The sequence below is a fragment of the Homo sapiens genome, chromosome 11 (genome assembly GCF_000001405.40).
Source record: "Homo sapiens chromosome 11, GRCh38.p14 Primary Assembly".
Classification (NCBI taxonomy): Eukaryota; Metazoa; Chordata; class Mammalia; order Primates; family Hominidae; genus Homo; species Homo sapiens.
The window spans coordinates 108911299-108936205 of record NC_000011.10 but is presented as its reverse complement, the minus strand read 5'-3'; the positions used below and the strand labels follow the sequence as shown (position 1 = coordinate 108936205).

At 37.9% G+C, this 24907-nt stretch overlaps 1 protein-coding gene across 1 annotated transcript in view, besides 1 other annotated feature; it reads right to left on the bottom strand.

Annotated features, from left to right (window-relative positions):
* DDX10 (DEAD-box helicase 10) overlaps nucleotides 1-24907 on the bottom strand; it is a 275859-nt gene that overhangs the window by 4722 nt on the left and 246230 nt on the right. The window contains exon 17 of the mRNA NM_004398.4: nucleotides 18188-18333. Within this exon, the coding sequence (NP_004389.2) occupies nucleotides 18188-18333 (146 nt within the window). The remainder of the gene's footprint in view (nucleotides 1-18187; nucleotides 18334-24907) is intronic.
* Nucleotides 22512-23013: an enhancer, noted in NCBI's record as "NANOG hESC enhancer chr11:108783920-108784421 (GRCh37/hg19 assembly coordinates)". NCBI's record gives its function as "activates a minimal SCP1, AML or CMV promoter by ChIP-STARR-seq in primed H9 embryonic stem cells {active_cell/tissue: H9 hESC(primed)}" and the evidence as "EXISTENCE:reporter gene assay evidence [ECO:0000049][PMID:30033119]".

Below are 24907 nucleotides of genomic sequence, written 5' to 3'. Positions count from 1 at the left end.
CTGAACACATGATGACAGAGTAGGTATGCTACATAATCTCTGTTCCTGTGATAACCTGATCTCCAACTTAGGGTCCCTGTGTCTACAGATGTATGGGAAAAGGTGAGACTGCTTAGGTCAAGATATATGAATCATGGGTTATTTTCAATATTTTTTTAAAAATCTGCAATTGTGTGGCAAAGACTAAGTTGTGGGATTTCTTTGCTTTTGGCTAGAATTATATTAACTGAGCTTTGTAAACGTTCAATACTTCATATACTTGGATGAACTGAAAATTACATCTTCGTTAATGAAACAAATGTGAAATATTAACTTTCTTGAGAGACAAAAATCTTTTAAAACATGGGACCATTATCATTGAAAACAAAACAGATGATGACAGGGAAATTCTATTTTGATGATTTTGAAATTTTTGTGAAAATGGATACACAAAAGCTTGTCTTGTGATGATGAAAAGGTTGGAAGTCATCATTCCAGGATAGAAAATGGTGCTCCATGGATCATATGGAGAAACCTGTGAGAATTCTTGATAATTTTACTTTTCAGTCTTATATATCAGCCTTCTTAGGAAGCCATTCAATAATGGTTTCCATGCCCACCTCCCCTCAAATAAAAAAAAATTAAGAACCAGTCATCTTAAATAAAAGTTCTTGTTGAAATATCATTTATAAAACCTTCATGTATAACATTTCTCTTTTGAGCCCATTGTAAGCATGCTTAGAGAAGTAGTCTCTGTCAAGCACCACTTGGTCTTGCCTTTTTCATAAAAATTTCAGTGGTTCTCTAGAAAGATTATTAGTATAATCTTTAAAGAGTCTCATGATCTGGTATAAGCCTGCCTCTGTAACCTGTTCTGCATTAGCCCCCCTTAATATACCCCTTGCTCTTTGAGGCTCCTTTCTATTCCCTGAATATGCCCTAGCTTCTCAGTTTCTTTTATCTCCATCTGGAATTCCCTTTTCTGTTTTCTAACTATCTAAACCTCCCTTATCCTTCAAAAGCCAGTTCAAATGATACCTCTTCCTCAAGGATTCCACCTTGAGGTGGAAGATTTCTTCTTCTGCCTACCAAATGGTTAGCTTTTTGAGGTCTGGGGCTCCTAGTCTTCATTTCTGAAGATGACTTAAAGAATTCATTCAATAAAGGTCCATTCATCTGAATAGTAAAAATAATGACGGTTAGGGTTGTTCAAAGCCCCAAGAATTACCATCACTGCAACAAAAAAGGCAACATTTCAATGGATTTTGCTGCGAATTCGACTTCCAGCGGAGTTAACAGAGGAGAGTGTCACGTGTGGGAGCACCCCCAGAACACTCAATCCAGTCTGTGGGTGCACAGGCTCCTGTCTGCTGACTAATCCTCCGTTTTTAATATCACAAGTTCCAGTGTTCTAAATTTTGGCTTTGCATGTTTTTAAAAATTATATAAGTGGCCAAATTATGGCTAAACCCAGTAACTTGTTTTTTCAAACACAACTTCTGCTGAGTTAACGCCCTGTCAATGGACAGTTTAAATTTTACCATGACTGCAACTTCCATGTGAGATGTAATCAGCAATCATCTAAATTTAAAATACTTAAAGGTTGACTACAACCTCCCTGATTGTACCTTCCCAGTTTCCTCTTCCTCTATCCATTACATAAATGTTCATTTCCCCAGGTTCCATCCTTGGGCCTCAACTATCCTCATCTTACATATTCATTCTGGGTATTCTCATGCAGTTCAGTGTTTCCACAATCTTCCACAATGCTAATGACTTAAAAATATGCATTTTAGCCTAGGGTTTTTTCCAGACCACCAGATCAGCATATTCAACCAGCTCCTGGATGTTTCTACCTGCATCTCAAAGTAAACATGCTTCTATTACATGTTTTCCCCAAATCTGCTCTTCCTGTATTTATTTCCCTTCTAAGTGAAAAGGACTATTCCCCCACTGAAAACCTGGAAGTCATCCTTGAGCTACCTTCTCTTTTATAACCTTAATTGAATTGATCATCTCTCAAATCCACCTATGTTTTCTAGGGCTTCTACAACCATCCTCACTCCTTGCCCTCCTTCACCTGATCCAGCTCCGGGAAGCCTTCCCTGACCCACCCTCATCTGAGTCAAGTGCCCTCTTAGGGTTACCCTCACATTGTGCACACTTCCATCGCACCATCTCTATCACACCATCTGAAATGCCTTATGGCAACTGTCTATGTGCTTATCTTCGATTAGATTACAAGTTCCCTAAGGACAAAAACTGTCTTGTTCTGTGCAGCCACACTGCCTTGGTACCCAAGGGCTTAATACATGTTTCTTGAAGACATGAATAAACCCACTGGGCTGAGCTTCTGTACTGTTTAGTATCTGACTGGCCTACTGTATGTCATACAGGGTCAGAAAGAATGCTCCCTAACTAAAACCACATTCTTATCTTCTTTGCAGCATAGATGATTCATTTTAAGCCAGTATGTAAGTAGACATTTAAATCTGCATTGTATTTTTTCTCTAAACACTGTATCATTAATTCCAAAGAAATTGAAGAGATCAAAGCCACAGTGAAAATTAAAACACTAATGGCGGAAGGGAAATTATATTGTAAAAAAGAAGTACCCAATAACTTCAGGCTCTGAGAAATGAGACAATACTTTTAAGATTATAAAAAGATCAAAACTCGGCATGTCACTTCAATAAAAATGAGTAATTTTGATGTTCTTTGCAATAATATCTAACTATTATCCTTTTAAAAATGTGTGATCACATCAAAACCTTAACCCTCAATGAAGTACTGACAAAGATACTCTCTTTTGACCAAACTCGAGTCTGGCTATTCTAAGTCCTCTTTCTGACTGGGCTTTGTCTTTAGTCCAGGTCTGCCCACTTAGTCCAGTTTTAGCAAGAATCCTGCTAAGTCAGCTGAACAAAAATCTCTCACCCTTAATATCTGGTCAAATTTCCCATCCCGCAGGCTTGCCTTCAGTAATAATCCTGTGGAATCTGTTTAGCCAGAATCCTCCACAACCCTGATGTTCCTTCTTAATAACTTTCCATTAATGACCCCTCCCTGTAAATCTCTGTAACTCTCACTTGTCCGAGTTGTACTCTCAGTTGAGCTCAATCTCTTGCCCCTACTAAAAAACCCCATTGCAGTGGCCCCTACCCCTTGAATAACGTTTGACTTACCCTTCTTTAGTAAGTGTCATGAATTTTTTTCTTTAACAGCATGTAGCACAGCCAACAAATGACTATGACTTCAAGACAAAGGTATCAGGTTCCATAAGACATGCAGTAACAGTAGGATCTCCCCTCATTATCCTGGACTTTAGACTCAGGGTGGTTTGCCACCAGCAGATACAATATTTCAACAAAGAGTATAATAAGCGAATACAGCACTTGCCAAAAATATTAAAAGTAAAAATTGAAATTACTTTCATTTTTGTCACAAACTACCTAATGTTGATGGAAAACAAGACCAAAAAGCAAATTCTCAACTCATAACTTTTGTTTTCTTTTAAGGAGAAAGACCTTTAGAAAAAACAAGAAACATTGGTATCCAGGAAAGAAACAAAGTGGATGAAGATTATATGAAGCCACTAGCTACTCTAAATGAAGTACATCCCTGACTCTTGAGAACTACACACTGGGTTCTTAGAGAATGTGGAAACCATCTTGTTCATTTGGCCATCTCTGATTCAATGGAGAATGGAAGAGGATCCTCAAAGACTGGAGACTGGCAAAAAGTGGTTCCCATTTTATTATTATTTCTTTTTAGAGATGGGGGTCTTGCTATGTTGCCCAAACTGGCCTTGAACTGGGCTGACACAATCCTCCTGCCTCAACCTCCCTGGGACTAAAGGTGCACACCACCATGTTCGGCCTGGTTCCCATTTTCAAAGAGAAGGAGAAGGTAAATTTTGCAAAGTATATAAAGCTTTCAACCAAGACTTTAAAGTGAACTACAAACTTTAAATAGGAAAGCCTGGTCAGCGAACTATACCTGTTGGCCAAATTTCACACAGTGCCTGTTTTATACATCAAGTTTTAATGATGATTCAGCCTCACCCCCTTGTTTATGTATTGTCTACGGTTGCTTTACCACTGCCCTGGCAGAGATGAGTATCCCTCAAAGTGTAAAATGATTACTATCTAGCCCTTTAGAGGAAAAAGGGTAGATCCCTTTTTTATATTTTATACCTTGCTGACATATAAAACAAGCACTGTGCGAAATAAACAAAACCAAAAACCAGACCCCTGATTCTAGTAGCTTTTGTTGGCTCACTAAAAACAATTCATATCAGACCAACCTTACTGCTTTTAGAGGGTTATTTGACTGGTAAAGCAGGAAAATGAATGCTTTTAGGCTTCCACAAGGCATAGAACACACAATAACCTTGTGGATAACATTGAGACACAGGATCTGAAGACAAAATTAGGAGAAAGCGTAACTAGGTGATTAAGAAGAATCTTTAGTTTCCTAAAAGGTTTATTATTAAAGGTATTTTATAACATCTAGTTCATGGTGCCTGGATCTTATTGTAACTTCGTCTCTATCAAGTTTAACTCAGTATATTTGGAAGATACTGTGACCATGGAACCTTTTATCCCCTTAACTTTACAGGTAACTTCTCTGAAATGTACACATGGCATAATGTAAAAAATATCTACTTTTCTCCCTTCCCTGTTTAATGTTGAAATGACTGCTTTTAAAAATAGTTACTTAACAGTGATTCAAGCACTGTTATTAAATATGTCATTTCCAAAATTCTGGTATAGAGGAAAAGAAAATGGCTTTGGAGTCAGTCTGACCCGATTTAAACCCTGGCAGTTGCCTAAAACTTGGGAAAACTGCTGAACGTCACAGGGTGCCAATTTTTATGTTTGTAAATGTGACTAATATCTACCTCATGGAGAGATTAAATAAGTGATATATGCATGGTAAATGCATTATAAATGTTAACTATAGCTTCTCCAACTCCCCATGGTGGGCATGATCTTACTTTTCTGTTGATGTTAACTGGATTATATTGGTCTTTACCATGTAAGGTGAAAGTCTTTTAACTTGAGATGTCCCCCGACCCCCTGAGATACGGTCTTGCTCAGCCCAGGCTGGAGTACAGGGTGCTATCATGGCTCATGAGAGAACTCCTGGGGAGCTGGGACACTCAGGAAGGGATACTGAATGGGGTAGGGGTCTGGGACAAATGTTGTTGGAGGGAAGAGAGGTTCTGGGTCCCTGTTAGGTTAAGGTCCTCAGCAAGCAACAATAGTCTTTGACGTTTTTATTAAAATTAAGTATATTATTATTAGCCTTATCTCAGGTAAGAACCTTCACTTTGAGAGGCTGAGAAGACAGTTCCTCAAAGGGCAGCCCTGTTCATAAGGAAGGGCTATGCTGAGCTAGAATTTCATGTTTGGCAGAATAGTACTTAATCCAGCATATAACCAAAATCTGAAAAGACAAAGCATATTATTATCACAGTCTACTGTATTTTAAACGTTAAAAACAGCTTTCTTTAAACTACAGAAATTATTATGAAATGGTTAAATTTCAAAATACTGACAATACAAGATGCTGGTGGGGCTGTGGAGCAAAAAGAACTCTCGTTTATTGCTGGTAAGAATGCAAAATGCTACAGCCACTTCGGAAGAGAGTTTAGCAGTTTCTTATAAAACTAAATATACTCCCTACCATGTGATCTAGCTGTCATGCCCTTTGATATTTACCCAAAGGAGCTGAAAACTTATTACCACACAAAATCCTGCTCATGAATATTTATAGCAGCTTTATTCATAATTGCCAAAACTTGGAAGCAGCCAAGATGTCTTTCAATAGATGAACAAACTGTGATACATCCATACAATGGAATATTATTCAGTGATAAAAAGAAATGAGCTATCAAGCCACAAAAAGATATAGCGGAACCTTAAAAATATATTGCTAAGTGAAAGAAGCCAATCTGAAAAGGCTGCATATATGATTCCACCCATATGGCATTCCAGAAAAGGCAAAACTGTGAATACAATAAAAAGACCAGTGGTTGCAAGGGATTCGGAAAGAGAAGGATAGATAGGTGGAGCACAAGGGATTTTGAGGGCAATGAGCTATTCTGTGTGATACTATAATGATGGACACATGACATTATACATTTGTCAAAACCCATAAGATATACAATGCCGAAAGTGAACTCTAATTTGAACTACAGACATTAGTTAATAATAATGTATCAATATTAGTTCATCAATTGTAACAAATTTACCACACTAATGCAAGATGTTACTAATAGGGGAAATTGGAGAGGTAGTGAAGAGAAATATGAAAACTATATTTTTCACTCCATGTTTACTGTAAAAACTAAAATTCCTAGGCAGAAAGTCAATAAAAAGATGTATAGTTTAAAAGAGTTAGTATACCCCCAATACATTATAACTTAATTAAATTGAGCATAAAAACACATTAGATTTTTCTTTTTTTATCCCCAAAGAACTACATGCCCCTTAATACATCACCTGACTTACCTTTCCCATCCTCATTTAGAGTACTCAGACCATCTCAATTCCACTTTTCTGTTCTTATGAGAATTTCAATGCTGGCTCACTCCTTTCTAATGAGTTGCCACTGTATGGACTAGACTAGCAACTGTTTCCTATACTCATCACCTTCTATGAAGTCAGTATCACAATCAGGATAGACACATGGGTAGAATGATGATGAGGTGAAAAGCAGCCAAGGAATCTCCTAACAGGAATACACAGAATTGTACAGTCATGATGATGCTATTAGGGTAAATATTTAAATAATAATTGTCTACGCAAACCATGCTTAGAACACTAGGATGAATCATTCCTTCCTCCCAGAGGTGGCTTGCAATAATTCTTCAGGTCTTGCCTCAGAGAGGGTTCTTCTTAACCATCTTGGCTAAAGTGAACTCTCCCAATTCCTCTCTCATCAGTTATTGTTTTCAAGGCCCTGTCACCACCTCTTGTCTGCTTTTTGTTTACTTCCTTATGGTCTGTCTCTCTTGCTGGAGCGTACGCTCTATGAGGGGCTGGGGTCCAGTATCTCTTCTTTATTGCTCTCTGCCAGTCACATGGTAAACTAGCAGTTTATCAAATGCCTAAATTATGTGACTGTCAAAGGAAAACAGACAGGTAAGGGCATTCCTACACTCCAATTTGGTAACGTGGACTCTCCATCCATATTTTGAATAGGCTATGTTACATGACATTACTGTCACTACATCATTAATTTCAACCAGGCTGTAAGATATTTTTGCAAACTGTTTTGAATATAGGGCCTAGTGCTACCTGGGGACTTAATGAATGACTTCAATGAGGAAAACAAGGAAAAGTAGCTATCCTAGAGGACATTAAGTTTTATTCCTATCAATGTATATACTCATTTACAAACTCCTACCAGTTTTGCTTTTAGTAATTAAAATAATTACTGCACATTAATGACCCTATTCAATGTCATATTTCACTTTCTTTTTACCCTCGTTAGATCTTCACAGTAACTTTGCAAGGTAAAAATTATCTTCCTTTGACTGATGAAGAAAGCTGGGTCACAGAGATTAAGTAACTTGTCAAAGGTCCATAACTTGTAAAAGAAAGATTCAAACTCAGGTCTGTCAAATCCCCAAACCCACAGTTTTCCCCACAAAGCCAAGTAGCCTGCCTTTGTTCTAACAGTCTTAATTTCACAAAACTACTTTCCCTGTTGCAAAGTTGATAATAATACAGCGTGTAGATCAATATTCCAAAACTACAAGCAGTGGTGCATGTGGGCAAGGCATTCAGTCTCTCGGTTCACAGAACCTCATGTAATTCATATCTCACACCTGCTAGAGCAACTATTTTTGTAAAACAGATGCTTCTGAGAACACCCTGCCAGGATCAGGCATAGTTTAAATTTCTATGTATTGATAGAGAAAGGCATAAGGAGAGAGACTGATTCACTGATATATTATTCCATGTAGCGAGAACTCCTAGGGCTTATTCCACTTGAATTTTTAATTCCCTTTCTGGCTTTTAGGACACTTTAGCCAATAAACTTACAAGTGTGGGAAAGAGTGGGGCAAATAACATATTATCACAGAAGAGGAAGGTAATCATTGGTACCTGCCATGAATAGGAAGACCTCTCACTGGTAAACAGCATACTTTAAATGATGTGTGAATTAAATCCAAACAAAACAAGTCAGAATGTCCTTTGTAACCTAGAAACCACACTTCCTGGGCTGCGAGGACACAATAATCAGAACCACTAAACCAAACTTCAAGATGTTCCAGCTGGGCACGGTGGCTCACGCCTATAATCCCTGCACTTTGGGAGGCCAAGGCAGGCAGTTGCCTGAGGTCAAGAGTTCAATACCGGCCTGGCTAACATGGTGAAACCCCTTCTCTACTAAAAATACAAAAAAATTAGCCAGGCATGGTGGCGCACGCCTGTAGTCCCAGCTACTCGGGAGGCTGAGGCAGGAGAATTGCTTCAACCTGGGAGACAGAGGTTGCAGTGAGCTGAGATCACGCCACTGCACTCCAGCCTGGGCAACAGAGGGAGACTCCATCAGAAAAAGAAAAAAAAAAAAAAGTTCCAAGTGCTGTCTGATATGGCTGTGGCCCAAGGCAACATAGAAGAAAAACATCTTCTGGGAAAATCTGTTAACTTCTCTCCTGCTGGATGCAGTGCCTTATAGAAACACAATCTAGTGGAGTGAGCACTAAACTTCCAAGGATGCTGGGGCAGACAGTTCCAATAATTAAGTTATAAAACGGCAACTGAAATTATGGGGGATTCTGTAAGCCTGACTCTGAACAAGAGACTGTGCGGCCAGAAAGTGGCATATGCCTCATTTCAGAGCTCATAACTTCTGTGGCAGCTGCATTTCTTCATGTACAATTAGGGGTGTGCAAGTTTGTATGTGTTAAATTACAAAATAGGGGATTGACATCACTGTACAGCCTATTCAGAAATTTCACAAAAGCAAGGACAAGGGGCTGCTGGAAGAAAGCACACTCCCTTTATTAGACTGTCTGAGCAGCTTTTCAATCTCTTGCTTTTTCTTCTTTCCTTTGGAATGCTAAGTTAAGAAATCAGGTGAACCAAAGACTGATAAAGCTGCAAGGAAGCTAAGGGTGGGTGTCTGGAGGTGGAGAACAGTGAATATGCCCTTAAACAGAAACCCTGAGGTGTCCTTTTACAACATGCTGCTAAACTGGCTGTGGAAAGCTACTGTGAGAGACAAGAATTTAGCGCCTGAGAGCCCAGTTTTGGGCACCTATTTGTATAAAACTCTCCTTCTTGCATTCATATCATAAATGTAGCTTGGATTTTTTCCTAAATAATTTAAACCTAATACATGAGCTTGTGATCATCTGAAACATTCTCAGAAACCTTTATACCCATCCTAAAGTACTGGCACTTTGGTATTCAAATATGTTGTGCCAGAGACTTTTCCCCTTACCATAAATTTTAATTTACGAGGCCATGCAACAGTCCTAATGAAGATTAATTACTGCAGTACATTCCATAAAATGTGCTCAGCTTTCTCCTGTCAGCAAAGGCTACCACATGTAGAATCGGTAGTGAAAATGTATCATGTCCTTAATGTCTCTTTTCTAGCTGCTCAGTATTAAAAACAAATTTGTAAAAACAATTTCATCTAAGAAAAGATTGATGGGCTCAGAGTTCATTATAAACATAACTGCAAAAGGAGAGGAAAAAACTGGTCCTCTTGGATCAGAATTCTAATAATCAGAAAAGGCTGGTGGTGGTGAGGAAGAACTAGAAGGCAGAAGACTGCACATCATACCACTACTTCACATATGTGTTTCCATCTGTAAAATATCTACAACGCCATTTGGGGCTGGCAAAAAGTTTTTGGCCCCACTCTATTTTTCTCGTCATAAATCATCCAGTTAACTGCATGGGAGTGTCTGTGCTACATGCACACCCATGCCATCATTTTTCACGAAATCTCAAGATTTCCCTAAAGCTCATCCATAGAGCCCAGGTTAAGAATCCCTGCTCCACAGCAGTTTAGAAGGTATAATTATGTCTCTTCTCCCAGATTTAAAAAAAAAAAATTAAACATCATACAAGTTGAGTTTATGCTATGCCTTTTTCTCACAGCTAATCTGCATGTAGAACATTTTGTGCTCCTCAGAAACACATCCCATCCACTTCTCTCTCAATCTACTTTCCCTGATTAGTTTTCAATATCTAAGATCACCACCTACCCAAGCATGTCCCTAATGTTCCAGCTATCTGACAAAATGGAGTTTTACAGTTTAGTCTCACTCTTCATTAGTCCTTCAAATGACTTCAAAGGAAAGAAAACCCAGTCTTCAACAAAGCTGCCCACCAAAACATCACTTATAATTACAACATAAAATCACACAGGAACCCAAAACCTAAGCATGGGTACGATCTTTAAAAAATTTACTAACAATTTTTAAAAATTACTTACAATAGCGAAAATTAAAACCCATTAAAATTACTTGTAATAACAAAATAAAATCAAACAAGAACCAAAAACCTAAGCATGGGTACAATCTAAAAATTTTAAAAGGGAGGTAGACAAGGAACTTATGGTGTAACCAAGTGATAGAAAGTTTGCAGTCATTAGGCATGAGTGCATTCTATGTGAATGCAATGTGAAATGACAAAAAGAAACATCCTAAGAAGTCACTCACAAAGGTCTTTTCAGTGAAAACAAAGTTGCAGTGCACCAGAGTTAGGGCAGCTGCCAGAGAACCCTACTAGCAAGGGTGGTTCATCTTAGCCTCATAGCATCCTGAGCTATTCACCCTTCTTAGAGATCCTGGCGCTTCTGAAAAATGACAGGCTCACAACTGTCCTAAGTTATATATAATGGTTGACTAAATGATAGAGTAGAAAGCACAGGGCAAAAACAGTAACAGTAAGAGAGTAGCTTCTTAAACTCCCAATTTCTCAAACTGTGTCTTCCCCATCTCAACCCAGTCCTCACCCCAGAAAATAACATCCTCCTTCCCCAATGTGTAGCAACCTTTCTCTAAAAGTCCTAAGACAAATATTGCCTTTCCCAAACCCCACCCCAACAATCTGCCTCAGGAGTTTCTCCAAATATTGTTCTTATTTTCAAATGTTTGACAAATAAGAAACGACTGAGATTTTCTCTTGAAAGTTGCTTGGCATATGGGAAGGGGGCATATACTCCTGAAGCTGAAAAGAGTAAGAGGAAAGAATGGCAGGCACACAATAAATTCACTATATAATTAAGCTGAGCCAACCTCTTTCTACATTTTCTACACACAATGAGATTCATAATGAAGGAGAGGTTCAAGTAATTGGAAACTGCAGTGAATAGTAGTTTTTTTAAACAATCACCTAGACTAAGAAAAAGCTCTTTTAGCTCCATCCAAAAACAAGAAAGAAATGAAAATGGCTTCTGAGAACATTGTTTTCCAAGTGAAAAGCCTCCCACAAATTATGAAGCTGACTGTAAAATCTTAGAATAGGTACTGAGCAAAACTTATTTAAGAGATGTCACAGAACTCAATACTAGGAGAAACTACAGTGGTTAAAGCAGTTCATCTACCTCACATAAGAGATCATTTTTAAAGACAGGCAAGTTCACTCAAAAGATAGAAAAATGAATATGGAACAGATTTTTAGAAACAAAACAAAAACCCAAATAAAAGAACAAACATGCAGACCAAAAACCTTGATTAGTCTTTTGATTCAGAGATGTGTAAAAATAGGTTAAAAGAACACCTAATTATATTTAGATGTGGAATAGTTTACTCTGTACTGGAAAAGGTATCAATCCATAAAGAAGTTATCAGGTCTAAATGAGGACAATAGCCTCAGTACAAACTATAGATGTAATTGGTCTTATGCTACCTAGAATAATCTACGAAATACCCTGCACCATGTAAGAATTCTTTAGGAAGCTACCTGCCTCAGAGAATGTAGTCTACAAAGCAAAGATTGATGTAAGGTAGTAAGAGTTGAATCATCACCTTTTCTTTTTCCTTTTTTTGTTTGAAAAAGGTTAAGATTATATATATTAAAAATTTAATTTGACTGGATAATGAACATCTGGAACATCCGGCTGTTTCTTTTTCATTGTATTTAATACTTTGCAAATTTTCACATCATTAGCAATTCACACGAAGATGGCCAAAAACCAAACATGATAAATGCTACTAGATATACAAAAATTAATCTTATATGCTCAGAATCAAGTCTCTCAGCTTGTGAAGCACAGCTATAAGAAACAATTTTATTGAAAGAAGAGTTTAAACGGAATACGGTTAAAGACACTCATCTCACTTTAGAAGCCACGCTTTTTAGAAGTGCAATTTACCCTCCCCTCTGCTCAGTTAATACTTACACCTAAGACCGATTTAGTGTAGACACCACTGCCTGCAGGAAGCTCTTTCTGACCCACCAGGCCTAGATTGGACCCATCACTTATGTGGTCTCCATGTTCATTCCCTACCTACTCCACTCACCATCGCCTCCCCAAGTGCACAAACCACAGCACTAATCCATCACACTGTTGTGTTATTGCTTATTTAGCTACCTGTAACCTCCATGGAACAAAAAGCTTTGTGAAAGCAGGAAAGATATGTTTCCTGTTTAATGTTTTATCTTCTGGATCCATGCCTGGCCCATGACAGGCACTAAAACATTTTTAGTTGAAAGAATGGATGGAAGAAATGTTATAATCCAGAGACTAACAGATCAAGTGGGTATTCTTAACTCTTAAGTAAAATATGATTTAAATAATGCAGAAGATTCTTACTCTATTCCTTGGCACTCCACATAGAAGCTTTTAAAAATATTTTTATTTTGAACATGGTGTAACTTTATTGTATGGACTATTTGAAATGAAAAATCATTCATTAGCCCAAAGGCAATTACAGTATCTGAGGTCTTGGTTCCTCAAAAGGTACAAAACTCTTTCAAAACTTACTTGAGATAAGAACACAGGACTCTGTGCAGTTCCCAGCAGACCAATAAATTCAATGAATGTCACAAAGCCCACTGAAACAGAGAGCTGGGTTTCCTACTAAGCTGTTGTGTCTCCAATGATAACAACAACAACAACAAATCCTAACATCTATTAATTCTACCTATTCCACATATTCAAAGGAAGAATGAGAGGTGAAAGCCAGAGTAAAACACAGCCTATACCAATATATAAGATGGATAAAGAAGAGTAAAAAAGCCAGAGAACATCAAGCTCTCCCTTCTACACCTGTCATCAAAAATAGCACATGAAAGCCTAGATCCTTAAATGGAGTTTGGACATCTGGCCCCAACTACTTCTGTACTGCGGGTAGATTAGCTGGTCCCCTGTTTCACAGCTCTGTTTTTGAGGATAAATAAACTATTCATGGGGGTATTCTTAAAGCTCATTAAAAGAAACCCAAAGTCACATAATTTTCTTTGTCCCTGAAACCATATTATAAGCAAGTTCTCTTTTAGTCATGCTAACTAAACTGGGTTGAATCCACATCAGAACCCTTTTGAAATCTCAGTGCTGGAGATAACAATTCTGATAATTTTAGAGGGTCGAAGGTAGTTTAAATTCTATTGCAGCTATGCACTGAACTGAGAAAGAAGGCAGAAGTAAAAACTCTTTAAAACCCTGTCAGCCCTCCCTGAGGGGGAACTATTGACCCCAGATTCTGTCATTCTCCACTAAATCTGGCTCTCCATTGCCTAGTTCCAACTGACAGTGTCTTTTCCATGTGGAGAAACAAAAGTGTTACTCATGCTGAATATTTATATGTGTCAATGAAGTAAAGGAAAAAGAAACACCCAGAGGAAATTTTCAAAGAAACTCGCTCATGCTAGTTTAGGTTGGAACTAATAGCTTCTTTCTTTCTCCTTCTCTTCCCCTCCCTCCCTTCCTCCCTCGTGCTTTCTTTGCTTTCTTCGCTTTCTTCTCTCTCTCTCTCTCTCTTTTTTTTTTTTTTTTTTTTTTGAGATGGAGTCTCCCTCTGTTGCCCAGGCTGGAGTGCAGTGGCACAATCTCGGCTCACTGCAACCTCTGCCTCCCAGGTTCAAGCAATTCTCCTGCCTCAGCCTCCCAAGTAGCTGGGACTACAGGCGCCCGCCACCACGCCCGGCTAATTTTTGTATTTTTAATAGAGACAGGGTTTCACCAGCTTGGCCAGTATGGTCTCAATCTCTTGACCTTGTGATCCGCCCACCTCGGCCTCCCAAAGTGCTGGGATTACAGGCGTGAGCCACTGTGCTCGGCTCTCTCTCTCTGGGAGTCTTGCTCTGTCGCACAGGCTGGAGTGCAGTGGCACGATCTCGGCTCACTGCAAGCTCCGCCTCCCAGGTTCACACCATTCTCCTGCCTCAGCCTCCCCAGCAGCTGGGACTACAGGCGCCCACCACTATGCCCAGCTAATTTTTTGTATTTTTAGTACAGACGGGGTTTCACTGTGTTAGCCAGATGGTCTCGATCTCGTGACCTCGTGATCCACTCATCTCGGCCTCCTGAAGTGCTAGGATTACAGGTGTGAGCCACCACGCCCGGCCAGGACTAATAGCTACTTTCCAATTGGTCTATCTAGTCCCATAAGAGTGAATTCGTCTCTGAAAATGCTAAGTGTATAGCCAGAGAATAACCTACTGAGAGATGTGATGATGTCCAAGAGGCTGGAGTACTAGCCATTGCCTCAATTACTGAGTAGAGGGCTAGAGACAGCACAGCAAGTAAAACCTGTGAACATGTCAAGAGGACTCACTAAAGCTGACATCATAAGATCTTAGCACGTAATCATACAGCTTATGAGAAGCATAAGCAGATGGAAGCTGTATGCTTCCAGTGTGTAGCCAAACTGGAAGAATACAGAAAAACTTTACTGGCGCTACTATGCAAATGCTAGCAGCAACAGCAATTACCACTGTCAAAATTCTAGTATATACAATCTTCCAAATACATTTTCTTTATCTAAAACAATTTTGGTTTTAGTTTACATACATCTTGATTCATTGCCATTGAGGCAAATAAACCACAGAAAAGGGAGAAAAATGGAAATTAAAGTATAAATAGAAATTACAGATGTAGGCTACTACTTATAATTTACTCCAAATCCTGCCTGCTAGTCCAGGAATGGCAAATAGGTTTTACCTTCCGTACCAGTTCCAATTGATTGACAGAGACTGTGCTGAGGACTGCTTAGGCCAAATGGAAGTGAATAGAGAAAAAACCTACTCTGACTGAAGGACAGGGGAAATTAAGCACCAGTAATATGTATCTGCCATCTGGGGTCTAATCCAGTTGTTCTCAACTGTGGGCAATTTTGCTTCCTCAGAGATACCTGCCATGTCTGAAGACATTTTTAGTTGTCCCAAATGCTAGTGGTAGAGGCCAAGGATGATGTTAAGCAGCTTATACCCTTTCTCAAACAAAAAACTATCTGGGCCGGAATATCAATAATGCTGAGGGTGGGAAACCATGTCTATCTTATGGTTAGTCCATGGATCCAGGTGTTTAGTCAAATGACATTATCCTGAGCTACCTCTCTCAACACCAGGGTAATTCTATACAACCTAACTGAGATTCTAGAACTAGGGAGTTAGTTTAATTTACAAAGATCACACTGATCTGTCCCTAACTTTTATTGTGATCACAGACAAGTTATTTTAGCCTTTAAAGCCTTGGTTTTTTCATCTAGAAGGAGGCTATAAGATTAGACAATCTCTGTGTTCACAGGCCAAAACAAAAAACCTGCTAGGAAGCCCTTATATACGCTACAGGAATAAAATCCCTCATCAGTGATCAAGCCCTTGTTGATATCCTCCTCTTCAACAAAAGACAATTTCTGTCAGCTTAAAACAAGTTGACCAATCCCAGTCTCCACTAATGCTGACTTGTTAGCTGTGCATGAAATTAAAACTGTTTTAATTTTCATATAATGCTTAAATACTTTCCATCTGAACCCTTGTCTTTAAGTTAAGATGCTTTGTCATCTCTCACAGTACTCCTACCTTCTTGTTCATCACCATTACACTGTATGAACTTGGCTTCTTCCAACTCTCCATCTATATTCTGTCATCTCTTGTATCATTTAACCTATTAATATTAGGACCAATGATATAGTCTCTTATAATTACATTTCTTTTTTAACCCTGTAAATCTCCTTCATCAATCAATTAATCAATTCAAATATGTCAAGGCATTCTCTGTGCCATGACATTAATATTAGGGGTGGGAATTGAGGCTAGAGCAGTTAAGTGTTGGTACCAAAAAAAAAATGTAAGGACAATTTCTAGGTACAAAACATTTACAGCCAATTAACAGGATGAAACACATGAGCTACTAGAGAACAAGTTCTATTAACTAGGTGGTAGCATGGAAATGTCACTATAAGGGCAAGAAATGGCAGAAGAATTAAATGAAATGCCTGCTGTACACAGATGAAAGATGACCCAGAAACTATCTAAAATGTTAGGGAAAAAATCCATATAAATCAAATGCAGAAGGACTGCTGACATCCTGCCAAAGGTTTCAAAGGTTGACTATTTTTTAAAGGTATATTAGATAGATATGCAAAATATGGCTGCAGAAATGCAAGAACCAATTAATGTTGCTTCCAGGGAGTCAAGTTACATGGAAACACTTGGAAGACAATGACTGAAAGTCATGTATGTTACATTAAATCACATCTACCAAAATACAGACCCCATAAACCATTCTAAAAGAGGTGCATTTATATAGGAACACAAGGGGAAGCAAACCTGACCCCACTGGGGTTCATCTAGGTCTCAGACCATACACCAAGGAACTCAGAGCATGTATATTTACTCTTAGAGGTCAATTTTTAAAGATTAGGAATATGCCCAGAACCTAAATTATTTAATCCTTATGGCACAAACATTTGTATATTTTTCTAAATCCTAATCAAATTATTTTTATCTGTGGTGCCTCTTGTGGTAGTAAAACAATGATGTCCACTACCTAGAGCCTACACATACTATATAAAGCTCATATGTTCAACCACCTAGTTGTCCAACAGCAAATGGAAGTTTCTGGCATCACCTCAGAAAACTGAATTTGGATAAGTGAATTTTCCTATTAAAAAATAATTCATGTTTAAATATGCATAAGATTCAAATGAAGAGTAACTCTGTCTCTCTACAGCATTTTGTCCTAAGAAAATCTTTAAGACCTTTTCATAATGTTCTTGTTTAAAACAAATTATAGCTCTCTATGGCCTACTTCTCCAACTGCAAACACCCTGTGCTAGCACTTCAAGGGTTCCATCAGGCTTCCTCTTCCCTTCAATCATACTAACTCTATCTGTTATTAGTACCTCCCTTCTGTAAAGAAGCTCACTGGTTTAGATTGAGCATGAAGTTTAACATTCTCAACTTTGAAATCAATAAACTCTTAATGTAATCTAATACATAGTACTCTGAAAACAAATGGTGAGCAAGTCATATTATTATTCATCACGTTTCATTTGTTTCTGCCAATGGTAGCAAATAAATAATAGCAAATAGACTTTAAAGTGAAGGAATTTGTCAAGAGTTGTTTCTGTACAAGTGTTCCATTATTTTATTTATTAAAAAAAAATTTGTTTTTGTAGATTTGGGGTCTCACTTTGTTGATCAGGCTGGTCTCAAACTCCTGGCTTCAAGCAATCCTCCCATATCAGCCTCCCAAAGTGTTGGGATTACAGGCATGAGCCACAGCGCCCAGCCCCACCAGTATTTTGTTATTTAATTCCATATAAAAGAATGTGGAAGAATAATGTCCACGTTTTAAAATTCAAGGACAATTTTTAGCAGTATCTTTAATAGAGTTCTCTGACAATGAAAAAAAATAAAACCCTAACTCTGTTTGCAGAGAACAGATTTTAGTGCATCAAATACTTAGGCATAAAGGACTCAGAGAAAGATAAGAAAAAAAAAAAAAGAATAGAGAAAGGAAAAACACAACTCATATATCATACTCATATCTATTAATAGGGATTATAGAAATAATCAAAAAGGCCCTAACATGACCAGAACAATCTGCAGCAAAATGAGTAAAAAAACAGCAGCAGGATTTCCAGGAATCTAAGTAAAGGTATCAAAAAAAAGCAACAAACATCTCTTGGAGTAGAACTCTTAGTAATGTCTTTTGGATTCATTAAAAGACTGATGTGAGAGTACTAAGTATGTATTTCATACCCATAGTAAAAACATACCTTATTTTATTTTCCATATCTTCACTATCTGAATCTTCAGAGCTTCTGTATTTATCTGGATCTGGGAGTGTGCTTGGATCAAATCCATCATCATCATCATCATCATCATCACTCCAATCCAGAAAGGCTTCCTCTTCATCTTTGGCCTAAAAAATAATAATAAGGGAAACTGCAGTTGAAGAAGTCAGTTGATAAATAATCAGGTTTTATTTGCAGACCCCAATGGATATCCCTCTAATTGACATCCACAGATTAGCTTTCTCTTCTGGTGTAGGCCCTTATGTGACTTTCAGAACCACAACCATTGGCAAAGAAATGAAAATCCTTATCATTTCAAAAATAAAAGAAGATTCAGAAAGCAAATCACTATTCAGTCCTTTAAACACAATACAGGAGAAAATTGTCTATTTTATTATTTCTGTGTAACTCAACTCAATTATCAAAGAAATAAAAGCCAGGTGCTGTGGCATGCTCCTGTCATCCCAGCTACTCAGGAGGATGAGGCAAGGGAATTGCTTGAGCCCAGGAGTTTGAGGCAGCAGTACACAATGATCACGCCTGTGAATAGCCATTGCACACCAGCCTGGGCAACATCTCTAAAATAAAATAAAAATAAACATAAAGAAATAGCATACAAAATTGTTTTAGTGATCCTGTCCACACATGTAAGTTTCAAAACTACCAAAAATACTAGGTGAAAATATAAAAGATCAGAAGCCAGAGTACAGTAACATTTGTCTGATTTTATGACCACAAAAGTGTAAGTCTTAAAAAACTATCAGATCTATTAGCTGGGCATGGTGGCATGTGTCTGTAGTCCTAGCTACTCCAGGGGCTGAGGCAGGAAGATCTCGTGTGCCAGACAGCTGAGGCTAGAGTGAGCCATGATTGCACCACTGCATGCCAGCTTGGGTGATGGAGTGAGATCCCATCTCTTAAAAACGAAACAACAACAATAATCAGATCTGTACAAGCTTATTTGTAGTGATGGGTCTTCTAAATTCAAATGCAAGTGCAGAGTCACTAAGAAGAATGGGAGAAGGGGAGGAACACCAAGAAATGGGAAAAGCAATAATGCATGGGAGGGAATGTATGGAAGTTGAGATCTGTTCAGTTTCATGCAAGCAGGTAGGTAAGTGGGCTTCTTTTGTTTTTAATTTTTGGTGGTTATTTTTGTCAAAAAACAAACTAATGCAAAATTAAACTTATTATACATTTATGTTATGAACATCACACGACAAATTTATTTCTGGTAGATTGGTTTTGTCAACTACCAGATAAACCGAAACAAGCAGTGGCACATGCATTTAACAGAAAATTATAAGTGGGACTAAAAAAATTTCAGTTTCTTTCAGTTACCATCTTTACAATTCTTCATACCAAATGATATAAACTTCAATGATTCTTTGATTCTTTTGATTTCAAATGATTAATGCTCGTTCCCAGAAATTGAATAACAGTTCAGAATAGCATAGTAATGACTGTGCTAGCACTATTATGCTATTCACTATTAAAGTACTCTAACATTCTTTGATAACCTCTAAACATAAGAATTAGTCACCACTGCAAAAGTCCCTTATTATTTTCCTGGTGAGAGTCCTTGGTAAAAAATAAAAGGTCTGGAAAGAAATTGAGTTGGGGGGAGGGGGGATTAGAAGCATTAAGCAGCACACTTGACAGCTTATTTTATTGTTTACTTGAAAATAATCAAAGACACCAACAAAAATTGGATGTCACCATAAACTCAAGAATTCTAATTTCCTGAGCTACAAGATATTTCTAATTTTCCCGTCTGATGCCCTTAAAGGAATGTACTATCTGAAGGTGGAGGCAGAGCAGACTCAAAACAGTTCTAAACTTTTTGGTCTCAGGACACCTTTACACCTAAAAAGAATGGAGGATGCCAAAGAGCTTTTGTTAACATGGGGAAGATCTACTGACATTTACTGTATTAGAAATTAAAAATTTAAAAAATATATTTATTCATTTAATATACTGTATTAAATAAAAATATATTTTATGAAAAATAGCTGTAATTTCCTAAAGAACTTTTTTTTTTTTTTTTTTTTACATTTTTGCAAGTCTCTTTAATGTCTGGGTTAAGTGAAGACAGCTGCATTCTCAAATCCGCTCTGCATTCATTCTGTTGCAATATTGTTGTGGTTGAAAAATGTAAAGACAATCTGGCCTCTCACAGATAGGTATTTGGGAAAGGGAAGAGTAATAGAACCTTTTCAGAAAACTGCAGTTATTCTTTGTTCATTCCATAACAAACGTTGATGTGTAATAGCTTCTTAAAAACTAGTTGTCATATGAAAACTGAAACCATATCAATGAACTTTTTGAAATTTGTTACATTAAAATCCATTGGTCTACCTTGCACTTTGAATGGATCTTTAGTGAATGATTTTGTAACATCATACATTGGTTACTTGGAAAATAATTGTTCACTGAATTACATAGATTATGCAGATCTCTAAATGTTGACACATTGCATTATATAATTTTTTTAAAGTCACATTTGTTATCCACCATCGATGTCTTTAAAACAAACAAACAAAAAAAAAAAAACCAAAAAAAAAAAAACAAGCCTTTTTAGTATTGGGAAGCTGTTGGTGGTTACAAATTTTCCAAAGTCAAATATTGAGAAATATTGGTGAATACAAGTTTTCCAAAATTCTTGTTTTCCTAAAAGCTCAAATTTTAGCATCAGCAACAAATACTTTCAGTTGTTTTCCTTGAAGGGTAAGCAAGTATCATTTTCCTCTGGCTGATTTCACAATTTTTTGTTTATCATAACAGTTGACCATGATATGTCTAGGAATGGTTTTGTGTTTGTATTTCTTGGGACTCTGCAAGCTTCTTGGATCTGATAATGTTTTTCACTAAATTTGGGGAGTTTCCAGCCATTATTCCTTCAAATATGTTTATGTCTCTTTTTCATCTCTCCTTTCAGGACTCCAAGCACATGTATACTGGACTACTTCACAGGTCTCATAGGTTCTGTTCCTTTTTCTTCATTTTTTTTTTCTATTCCTCATACAGGACAATTTCTACTGGGTGTTCAGGTTTGCTGTTCCTTTCTTCTGACAATGCCAAACTGCTTTTGAGCTCACCTGGCAATTTTTTAAATTTCAGTAACTGTACTTTTCAGCTCTAGGATTTCCAGTTTTTTTTTTTTTTAATGGTTACCATTTCCCTGCTCAGAACATTTTTCCATTCACTGATACCATATTTTCCTTTAATTCTTTGAATATAATTAAAATAGCTGCTTTGAAGTCTTTGCTAAATTCAAATCTGAGCTAAGTCAGCTTCTACTGATTGCCTTTTTTGGGGTATAGATCACACTCTTCTGTTTAATTCCATGTCTAATATTTTTGTAGAAAACTGGAGATTGTAGATAACATATTACCGAAACACTAGATTCTATCATGTTTCCTGAGGACTCCTGAATTTGTATTCTAACAGGCAGGTACTTTGCCTAGATTAAAACTGCAGACTCTAATCCATAGTAAGGAGCTGCTTATATCTGTTTTGATCCTGTGGCTTCTAGTTTCCTATGGGTCTCCCCTGAGCCTGTACAATGTGGTACTTAGCCAAGAATTCAGGCAGAGGTAGGCTTACCCTCTCTGTGGCTGCCTCTGGCGATTCCTCTAATTTCCAGCTGCTCTGCTGGCTTTGAGATCTGCACTCTGACACTTTGAGCAGAATACATTATTCAAGTGTATTAATATATAATGCCACAATTTACTATGCCCCTTTAGCATTATAAAGTGACCCTCACAAAATACCTACAATTTAATAAGAGAATAATTTGAAAGTTAAACTTAATATAAATACCTTAACTCAGTATTCCAATATAAATGTTTATTTACATTGGTATATAAAGAAAATACGAATTCAAAGTAATAAAAATTTACTTTCAAATGGATAAAATGCTATTTGGATTTGTTTTAATGTGACTCTTGTAATTGACAACATCCAGGCCTTGCTATTTCCTGACCTACAAAATGACTGCAATGTTGGTGCTATACCATATTGTCTGTGCGGCATTACAGTCAATTCATGACAATGACCAATAAAATGTGGAATACCTGTATTATGGAAAGTATAATGTGACTAATACCTTTAATTTATTAATAAAACCACTATCATTTACAACACAAGTCACTAAGTTAAAAATAGTATCACCATAATGAAAACATTCTGAAGTACTATGTCTTTTTAGCAAAGCCTAGAAGTATGTACTTTCTAGCCACATACGGTAAGAAAATGGACATTCTTAGCTGCTCTGTCTCTATCTTTGATTTCATGAATGATTTAAGAGATAATTTACCAAAATGGGACCATAAAAGGAAAATAGGGACGGCAAAGTCACTAAGCCAAAGGGAAGTCAAGCTAGGGACTGTGTCAGGCAAACCTGTCTCCCATTTTATTCCTAAATAAGATAGCTACAAAAGCTACATACCTCCCTCGCAATTTGCCCACAAGGATATTCCTTGTGGACAAAGGACAGACAGAACTCAAAGTCATCCCTCTGCTCATGTGAGACAAATGCTTATCTGATTGCTTCCTCTGCCCTATTGTTTCACTAAGCCAGACTAAGGCAGGAATGATGATTCCTCTACCTCCGCCTCACATGTGAATTGTCTATTTAGTAAGAGGCTAATCAGAGACTCAAAAGAATGCAACTGTTTATCTCTTAACTACCTATGACCTGGAAGTCCCCTCCCTGCTTCGAGTTGTCCTGCCTTTCTGGACTGAATCAATGTACATCTTACAGATACTGATTGATGTCTCACGTCCCCCTAAAATGTATAAAACCAAGCTGTGCCCCGACCACCTTGGGCGCATGTCCTCAGGACCTCCTGAGGCTGTGTCATGGGTGTGTCCTTTAACCTTGGCAAAATAAACTTTCTAAATTGGTTGAGATTTGTCTCAGATGTTTTGGGCTGACAGAACCATCCTCGTTTTTACCTCCTTTTGACTTATTTTCATGAGTCAAATATTCTCTGAAATATCTATCACCTCACAACTGTCCAAAAAGGCAGGACAACTTGAAGCAGGGAGGGGGCTTCCAGGTCATAGGTAGATAAGAGACAAACAATTGCATTCTTTTGAGTCTCTGATTAGCCTCTTACTAAATACACAATTGACATGTGAGGTGGAGGTAGAGGAATAGTCACTCATGCCTTAGTCTGGCTTAGTGAAGCAATAGGGCAGAGGAAACACTCAGATAAGCATTTTTCTCACATGAGCAGAGGGATGACTTTGAGTTCTTGTCTGTCCTTTCTCCACAGGAATATCCTTGTGGGCAAATTGTGAGGAGGGTATGTAGCTTTTTTATCTTTGTAGCTATCTAATTTAGGAATCAAATGGAAGACAAGTTTGCCTGACACCGTTCCCAGTTATGTCAGTGTGTTAGGACACCATGGCTGGAAACTCACTGCTGTAAGTAAGGGAAAACTGTTTAAGCATTTTAGCAGGAAACTAAATTAGTACCTTAGAAATGCAGCAATAGAAAGGGTGGTTGGAAGGTATAACATTTGAAGGAAGGATATCAGTTTTAAAACTATAATAATTAATGAAGGAAGTGGCAGTGGAGATGAAGGTGGAGGATCGGTATGAGAAATATTAAGGAAGGAGAATCAACTAGACTCTATGGATTACAGGGGTATTATAATGCACAATGTTTGTACCCCTCTTCTTTCATATGTCCATACCCTAATCCCAATGTGATGGTCATCAGGGTGGAGCCCTCATGAATGGAATTAGCACCCTTAAAAGAAGAACTAGAGAACTAGCTAAGTCCCCTTCCACCACGTGAGAAGCCATCTACAAATCAGTAAACAGGCCCTCAGGAGATACTAAATTTACTGGCACCTTGATATTGAACTTTCCAGGCTCCAGAACTCTGAGAAATGTGTGTTATTTAAATTACTAGTCTATGGAATTTTGTTACCGCAGCCCAAAGTGACTGAGACAGGTACATAATATATTTAAGAGAATATACACAGAAGCTTAGTCGTACACATCAGACCTCTCTTAAATATAGAAACCAAGAAGACAGCAGTTTAATTAACACTGAGAGGATGCCTTACAAAAACATGCTACGGTCTGAATGTTTGTGTCCCCCACAAAATTCATGTGTTGAAACCTAACCCCCAAAGTGATAGTATTAAGAGGCAAAGCTTTTTTGGAGGCCAGGGCAGATGGACTGCTTGAGCTCAGAAGTTCGAGATCAGTCTGCACAACATGGTGAAACCTCATCTCTACAAAAAAATTAGCCAGGCATGGTGACACGCTCCTATAGTTTGCAGCTACTTGGGAGGCTGAGGTGGGAGAATGGCTTGAGCCCAAGAGGCAGAGGCTGCAGTGAGCCAAGATCATGCCACTGCACGCCAGTGGGTGATAGAGCTAGGTCCTGTCTCAAAAAAAAAAAAAAAAAAAAAAAAAAAAAAAGAAGAGGAGGCAAAGCTTTTGGGAACTGGTTAGGTCCTAACAGTAGAGCCTATCTGAATGAGATTAGTGCCCTTACAAGAGGTCTGAGGAAACTTGCTCAGCCCCTCCATCACGTGAAGAACACAGCAAGAAGGTACCATCTATGAAGCAGAGAACAAGTCCTTACCAGACCCTGTATCTGCTGGCACCTTGATCTTTGACTTCCCACCTTCTAGAACTGCAAGCAGTTAACTTCTGTTGTTTATAAATTACCCCCAA